The sequence below is a fragment of the Homo sapiens genome, chromosome 10 (assembly GCF_000001405.40).
Source record: "Homo sapiens chromosome 10, GRCh38.p14 Primary Assembly".
Taxonomy (NCBI): Eukaryota; Metazoa; Chordata; class Mammalia; order Primates; family Hominidae; genus Homo; species Homo sapiens.
The window spans coordinates 15472411-15481307 of NC_000010.11; the positions used below are offsets into that span (position 1 = coordinate 15472411).

At 42.3% G+C, this 8897-nt stretch overlaps 1 annotated feature.

Moving 5' to 3' along the window:
- Window positions 519-1240: an enhancer, noted in NCBI's record as "OCT4-NANOG-H3K27ac hESC enhancer chr10:15514928-15515649 (GRCh37/hg19 assembly coordinates)". NCBI's record gives its function as "activates a minimal SCP1, AML or CMV promoter by ChIP-STARR-seq in naive H9 embryonic stem cells {active_cell/tissue: H9 hESC(naive)}" and the evidence as "EXISTENCE:reporter gene assay evidence [ECO:0000049][PMID:30033119]".

Below are 8897 nucleotides of genomic sequence, written 5' to 3' on the forward strand. Positions count from 1 at the left end.
GAGGAAATCACTATAGATAATATTTGCTTTTTCTATATTCCCTGAGGACAATACAATAGAAACAGGAACAAGCAGTATAAAAAAAATCTGTTTGTTTGCCTAGTAAAGCCTTCTATTTTAGTCATTTCGGTTAAACCAGGGAATAAGGACACTTGATCTTGAGTTGAGTCAGTGCCCTGAGATGCACCATCAGATCCGCTGAACACCCAGGAGTTAGATGGTTATATCCGGTGGGGCGCGACCCACTCTCGCACCACAACTGCGCCAGCTCTTTGAGGGACTTGGCAAGGCCGTCCTTCATTGATTAGGTCTCTGGCTTGTCTCATCTGCCACCATCTGAAAATACCTGGTATAGAGTTTGGAGACAGTTTTGCAGCCGTGACTAAGAGGGAGGAAGGGGGAAAATCCGATTACCTCCCTCTCACCATGGCATGTTCTTGTTTGTCCACATGCAGGGGGCTCTGTCATCCCTAATCTCTTTGAGCGTTGCTCTGTAAGGGTTTTGGCCCATGCACAACCACTGCCACAAGAATCCACAAGCCAGAGCCAAATCTTACATCACGGGGAAGATGAAACATTCCCCATGCAAGACCTGCAGCCGCAGAGTCCATTGCTCAGGGGAGAGAAAGGCATGCTGACTGCATCCTAGGGGGTGGCCCTCCCCAGGACCTCTACCCCTTACCTAGAGGAGGAAATGTCTCCCGAGGAGTCCCTGAACTACTCAGAGCTCATCAAAGAAAGGAGTCTACTTCCCTGGAGAGTTGTTTGTTTTTCTTTCTCATTAAAATGCATGAAGGTATCTTTTCTGAAATGTTGATTCAGAGGTTCTGAACTGATGTTTGTGAGGCTGCTTTCATTGTAGCTTGCAGAAGAGTTAGATTCTAAACAGCCCAGCAGGAAGCACCTTGGATTCTAATATCCTTAACAAGGAAGGGGTAGTGACGGAGAGTCAGGGAACGGCTAAACTACTGACACTTTCAAAGGAATGATTAAGGTGGACAAAGATGGACAAATAACCATGAAAGGCTCGAGCAACTGCATTAAAAATAGAGAATTTTAACAAGAAGCGGTCCCCTAACCATCCGAAAGTGTGGGGGCAGGGGGAGTCACACTGGAGTTAATTACACTTTAAATCTCAGAGGAAGATTCCTCTCATGCTGTAGTTGACAGAAATGAAGAATGAACTTTATTATCTGATCAGAAGTGGAGTCGGAAGTTGCTGAGGCGATACATATGGCTGGTGGGGAGGAAGGAAAAAGAGCAAGTTTAAAAGAAGCCCAGGGAAGGCTTATTTTTCTTTATTTAATTGGTTTCAAAGCAACTGAATCCTCCCCAATTTGGACTGTAATTGACATTTGTTTTACAAAGAAAGAAAACCACAACAAGAAAGGAAGTACAAACCAGGTATCCAGGCCCTCTGAGGAGCTGTGACCCCTGGGACTCCCCCTCACAATCTTTCTAAGCGAAGGTGTACTTTGTGGAGCCACTGACATGCTGGGCTAATCTGGGTTCTCTGGGAAAAAAACGCCAGGATGAGATCAGTGTGGGAAGATGTGTACAGAGGGGTACCTTTGTGAGAGAAGGTGGAGCTGGAGCCAAGAAAGGCTAAGAGAGCCATGAGACCCCCATAAGAATACTACCCAGAGCAAAGGAGGCCGCCAAGAAGAAGGCTGGGTTCAAATATCCAAAAGCGCTGTGCAGTTGAAGGAAAGTTCAGTAAGGCCACTGGGGAGGCCTTCAGCCAAAGTCAGGTCCCACGTGTCAGAGAAGTGCCATGTTTCTCAGGGTTGCCCCGCTGTGCTCAGCCATTGGCTGGATTCAGCTCATAAGAAGGGCCACCTTGACGTGAATGTAACTGTGGATTTCAGGGGATGCTGCTGACCCCCTTGGTCAATTACACTTCGTGTAGTTGGAGGTTTGCAAGATCCCTTCTCATGGTCACTGCAGTTCTTCCACGGAGCATTCTCAGTAGCAGGATTATCCTCTGTGCAATTGGAAGCAACCTTGAAGACCATTGTTCCAACTCTCTCATTGTGTAAATGAAAAGACTTGCGTAGATGGGGCTAGATGATTTCCAGGACTGGGAGACCCTGGAGTGGGGGAATTAATATTTTCTAAACATCCAGGTTTTTATAGAACTCCAGAACTACTCCTTCCATTGCGCCAACTATACTAACAAAGTTGTGTGCTGGTCACAATTTTTATTTTTAAAATACGGATTATATTTCTGATGATAAGAATGTATACATTCAAGAAAATTTGGGAAATAAAGAGAAGTAACAAGAAGGGGAAAATATTATTCAGAACATACCCAGCCAACCCTTCAAGTTCTTAGCCATTTGGTATGTTTTCTTACAGTTATTTTCCCCATACCTTTTTTACACATCGAAGTTTATACAGCATAGAACTTGAATCCTGATTTTTTTCACTTGGCATCATGACCTCAACGTTTCTCATGTTGTAAAAATTTCAGAAACTTAATATGGATGACTGTACAACTTATTGATCTTTTGATTCAGTCACTGTGAAATATCTGGGAAAACAAAGGAAAATTTGAGGTCATTTAAATTGAGTATACTCTTCTATGGAAAAGTTTCTGAAACTTATTGCTTCAACTTGGGATATTTATCATGGGCAAAATTTGTAACAATGCTTCTAGTTTGTACTTTGGAATATCCTTCCTCTAACTTTTAAAGAAAAATCTTCAGTCTGACGTTTTAAACTTCATAGTACTTTTTGACGGAACACTTATACATTCTCAACTGTTTCAATATACCTGTTTTCTGTTTCCACCTGTTTGTGTTTAGAGTTTTTGTTTTGTTAGCTCTTTGGAAGTTGAAAACTGGTTTGCAGTTTTCAGACTAATTGACTTGGTGAAAGAGAATTCTTCCAGGTCAGACTTTCCTAGTAACTCTGAATTTCAGGAAATGATGGGATAAAAGTGGTTAAAAGCATGAGCTTTGGAATCAGCGAGATGTGAGTGTGAACCTCAGCTTGGTCCTTGTTCAGTGGTCCTTGAATGACAGCAGATCAGTTCTTCATTCTCTGAGAGCTTCATTTATTACTTATCCCAGGAGTATCCTCCAAAGAAAGGAAATCAGTGTACTGAAGAGATATCTGCACTCCTATGTTTACTGCAGCTCTGTTCACAATAGCCAAGATTTGGAAGCAACCTGTGTCCATCAACACATGAATGGATAAAGAAAATGTGGTACATACACACAGTGGAGTACTATTCAGCCATAAAAAAGAATGAACTCCTGTCATTTGCAATAACATGGATGGAACCAGAGGTCATTATGTTAAGTGAAATAAACCAGGCACAGAAAGACAAACTTTGCATGTTCTCACTTATTTGTGAGAGCTAAAAATTAAAACAAAACAATTATAATTTTTTGAAATTTTTATTCTTACTTTAATTTTATTCCCATTTCATAGGAAATGGAACATAAATCTCAGTTGTCTTATGTAAAGATCAAAAGGATAGAATGCAAAGAAAGTACTTCACGTGGATGTGGTATCCAGTTGGGTACCAAATAAAATTATCATTATTACTGTCTCAAGCTTTAGTCTGTTAATATTTTGTTTATTATTAATTTTTTAGTCTGTTTTAACCTGAATGATATATCTTGTGTGTAAACCCACACGTTTCCTTGCTTTGTCAATGACAGGGACGAAGTCCTTTTGTTAACATTTATCTCTACTCGATATCCCCATTATCAATCAATCAGATGAAGGTTATTACTGCAAATATACAACAATTTTAGAGGAACGTACTGAGTATTCAGTCTACGCCTTATTTACGCTTGAGCTATTAATTGTGATTAGTGTCTTCTATAAGTAGACACTAATAGCTATTTATAGATTTGTGTGCAAAATAATATTCCTTGGTCTAAATGGTTGAATCCTAAGCTCCTAGCACAGGTAATGGCAGAAAGTCTGGTTTAACCTAATTCAAGGACTTAACCCACAGCTTTCTGACATACACAGGGATCCCATATGTTCCCCAGATTCTAGTGATGGAGTGAGCTGTCCTGTCCCTTGGTATCCTGTCCCACCAAGCTGTCCTAGCTTGGTGTCAGGTTGGCCCTGGCTACAGGTGTAAGCTGGCTGTGGCCTACGCTCCCGTGTAGTAGCTGGGACAAATTCCAGTTGCTTGAGTACCTCTAGTGGCTGTGAGTGAGGCATCTTGTCCCAGCTGTAGTGATTCTTCAGAGGTGAGTGGCAATCTTTATTAATATATCTGGTGAAAATTACTTCCATCCAAACTGGCGGAACTTCACCACGAAACTCTTCCATTGCTTCCTTCAGGATTTTCCATATTGCACGAGGCTGCTGTAGTAGCAAAACCCCTGTTGTGAGGGTCCTTCTCTCCACTTGGTTAGCTAGACTGTGTCTTGTTATGATATTTTTAAAAATATCATGCAGATATGAGAATATCTTTCAGTTGCAAAGAGTATAAAGAACAACTTGGTTGTATTTAAAAATCTTGGATTACAACCTTACCCTGCTCAAAAGTCAATAGACAGGCTGGGCTCGGTGACTCATGCCTGTAATCCCAGCACTTTGGGAGGCCGAGGCCGGGATCATCTGAGGTCAGAAGTTTGAGCCAGCCTGGCCAACATGGTGAAACCCTGTCTCTACTAAAAATACAAAAAATTAGCTGGGTGTGGTGGTGGGCACCTGTAATCCCAGCTGCTCAGGAGGCTGAGGCAGAAGAATTGATTGAACCCAGGAGGCAGAAGTTGCAGTGAGCTGAGATTGCACCATTGCACTCTAGCCTGGGCAACAAGAGCGAAACTCTGTCTCAAAAAAAAAAAAAAAAAAAAAAAAAGAAAGAAAGAAAGAAAAAAAGAAAACCTTCAATAGACAATGCTTCTTCATCTTAAGGTATTGAATATGGCAGTAGCATTGAGCACTACTGTAGTTTTCATACCACTGTTGAGAAATATTATTCTTGCCTGGGTGCTTAAAGAATTGTTAAAAAGTCCTATGAGCTAGAGATTTTAATAATTTCTTCCTATTGCCTAACCCTTCATGGAGAACTTGCTTTATCCTCAGCCCTATGGGACAGCTCTAATCACTGTATGACCCTCCTCTTTTGGGCACAGATAATGGGCCATAGATGGATAACTGTCCAGAGCTGGACTATTAATCATCTTATCCAGGAATCTGTAACTGGGGAATTAGACTGAGCGTGCTACCTGCAGGAAGTTGAATTCAGATAGTGTAGGCTCAAGTGGTGACGTTTCCTTTGGGTGCAGCCATTGTCAACCATGTATAAACAAGTAAATAAGCAGAGAAGCCAGTTTGCAGAGAAATTTGAATGAAGTAGTCATAGAGTGAAAATGAGAGGTAGCTGTGTGTGTGTGTGTGTGTGTGTGTGTGCGTGTGCGTGTGTGTGAGAGAGAGAGGAACGCCCACTGGAGGCATTGCTATAGAGCACATGGCAAGGTGCACTATCTTGAGAGTAGAGAATTTTCTTCTCTGTAACTCCCCTCTTTACTGGCTCCAGCAACTCTAGCCAGCCCAGTGCCTGGTCCCGTCTGTGCATGTCTAGGGGAGAGCAGATCTGCTGCTTCCTCTTGAATGAACTGAAGGCTGTGGGCATCAGTGGCATTCAATGCAGGGCTTTAGAGGGATGGGAAGGCAAGCTGGCCACTCTTCCCCTGACGAGGGACCCTTAGCCTTGCTTGGGCATGAAATAGCCTTTGGAGCTATTTCAGAAGAAGGAGAAGCTGGGGTCTGGAATTTGGGTAAAAATGCCTTAGAGGCCAGGAGGGGCTGAGTTGGAGGCAAGCCTGGTGTGATTGGGAAAGGAATGGAAAGTGAGAATCTCCTGCACCTTTCAGATGTGTCTTTTTCTAAATCCTGTCCCCTGCTTTACTGCTTCTTAAAGACCATGTGACACTGAGAAGTAGCTGATTTGGGGAACTTTGATGCTGAGGCAGGAAAGTCAGTGGCTCCTGTTGGCAGATTAGGAGTAGAGTGTTAAAGAGAATGAGGTCTTCGTGGACCCACTCAAGCAATTGAGAGTCTGGGCTCTCAGCAACACCTCCCAGTCCATTCACACTCTTCAGAACTAGGGAATGTTGTTTGTGATAACCTGTGGCAAAAGGTTGAGAAAGGATGAGACCCAGTGAAACAAAAGGCAAGGAATCATTCCCTTCACGCCACAGCTGATCATGGGACACACAGGCAGTTTCCTTGTTCCCCTCACTGTTTCCTGGAGTGAGTTAATAAAATGGCACCACGGGAGGCGGCTCTCCAGATCCTGGCCGGGGGCAGGAGCTCAGCTGGAGTCTAACTGAGCCTGGGAACATCAGGTATAGGATTTTGGCCATTGTCGGTAGATATTTCACCTCTACAGAAAGATGCCATAACCTCTTATGCGAGAAGATATTATGACATATTGCTTTGCCTCATTTGTGCATGTTCATTCAGCTAAAAGAGGGTTTGGTATTTGCAAATAGAATTTTTTTTAAAAGCAGATGGTGGGCCTTGGAGAATGTTTCCAATTTCTGCAAAGCGCTAAAAGCATTGATGGGAGCTGTCTGCATGATGATTAGATGTCTAAAACTTATGTCACAGATCGTGAGCAACTCCAAAATCTCAATAATTATTGACCGCTTATCCCAAATAGCTGGCTTATTTCTAACTGAGAGAAGACTGAAAAGCCATTCAGTGTCTTGGGAAATTCAATCAGAGTTAAAAATTAAGCTCACTGTTGAGGGACAAGGAAGTTGCCTAAGTCTTTCAGCAACAATGGAAATTATGTCTCTAAATTGTATTTGCTACTGAAAATACTACTTTGTTTTAAATGCCAATAAGGCTAACTGCCCAAGTGACACATGAACTATTTAAATTATCTACACATAGCTTCAGTTTCTTGTCAAGCCACAGAGACTTTACAAAGTGGCTCTTTCTGCTTTCTTAAGCGGGAAGAGTGTCAATGAATTAGTATAGAAGTTACAGCAATTCCAATGGTGTAGATTTTTTTCCCCTGCCAAACAGTAGGATCAAATAGCTTCTGCCTATATGGTTTTCATTATTTAAGGCTAAAATTAGAATAAAGTCACTTCTGAAAAGAAAGATTAGATCTGACAAAACCAAAGTATTCTTAGCTATTGAAATCATCATCTTCACCCCTTTGATGTCTTTGTCTTGTAAAGCGTGAAAGGTCAAGGAAGCTAAAAGCAAAATAAAAGTGTTTAGTACAAAATGCGAGAAGACATTATAACATATTGCTTTGCCTCAGTTGTGCATGTTCATTCAGCTAAAAAATTTATTCTGCAGCTATTATGTGCCAGGCATTGAAGACATGTGTTCATTACTGTATAGGGGTACAATGGGGGAACGAATCCAAGGTTCTTCCCTCCTGGTACTAACAAAGAACTTATGTAATATGAAATTTCACCATGGCCAATATGGCTTGGTGATTGACAGCCCTGGTTGGTAAATGAAGAAACCTAGGCTTTAAACCAAAGCGGTGCCGCCGAAAGAGCTATGTGTTCTCAGGAAAGTGCCTGGTAGTTTTCACTCCACTGCCCTAAATCTTCTAAAGGGCGGGGCCAGCATCTGACTTGCCTAGGTCCCCTAAATTGCCTAACAGATTCCTATGCCTCACAGATGTTCAATAAATGTTTGGTGAATGAACAGACCTCATATTCTCTGACATTTCTATCATCCTATTCAATCCCCATGGCAGATTACTTTTGCCATGGAGAGTCAAGCTCTCCATCTCTGACATGCCAGGTTTTAGATAAATCCCTCAGAAAAGGAATGCGGGAGAGATGTCCTTCCTTCCCTGCTCCACACACATATGAAAAAAGCCATTCACTCTTTGAACGGGTATTCCCCTATCTCTTCTATTTGGGCCACAGGGCTTCTATCCAAGATGAATTTCACTGGTCGTCCAGTAACTCTTCTTATCTGTCTACTGACTAGGGACATCCAGCAGCCATCTCCTTGATGCTGTTAATCCCAGTATGCAGGTTACCTCCCTGCAAATGTCCCTGTAAACAATGACTAAGTCAACTTTAAAATCTTATATCCAGAAGACTTTTTCTTTCTTTTTTTTTTTTGAGATGGAGTCTCGCTGTGCTGCCCAGGCTGGAGTGCAGTGGCGCGATCTCGGCTCACTGCAAGCTCCGCCTCCCGGGTTCACGCCATTCTCCTGCCTCAGCCTCCTGAGTAGCTGGGACTACAGGCACCCACCACCATGCCCGGCTAATTTTTTGTATTTTTAGTAGAGACGGGGTTTCACCGCGGTAGCCAGGATGGTCTCTATCTCCTGACCTCGTGATCCGCTGCCCGCCTCAGCCTCCCAAAGTGCTGGGATTACAGGCGTGAGTCACCACGCCCGGCCCAGAAGACTTTTCCAAGAATGTCTTTTTCAATACTTTTTCAAGAAGGGGAGAATTAAAAGTAATGGCAAACACCGCAATAACTTTTGCACCAACCTAAATACTGCAATTAGTTTATACTTACCTAAATACTAACGTAGATACTTACTTAAATACAACTATACTTACCTTACTACTGTAGTAAATAGTTACTATACTTTTACCTAAATGCATTCCACAGTCACTTTACTATGAATCTTCCTAGGCTCTGCATGTATTTAGGTTCGTTCAAAAGTAATTGTGCGTTACTTCTGCACCAAACTAAATACATTCAGAGACAATGAAGATTCTCATTCCTTGGTAGCTGTTTCTCTTTCATTTTGACTCCTCCTCTCCTGGCTCTGCTGACCCCAGAACCCAGGGACCATGTCTGTCTTGCACATCACCACATGCCCAAGGGCAAGTCTACTTGCTGAATAAATGAATCAACGTCTTCAGGCTCAGTCTTTTTTTTTTTTCTATTTCATTTTCTTACATTTCTATGTGTCTCTC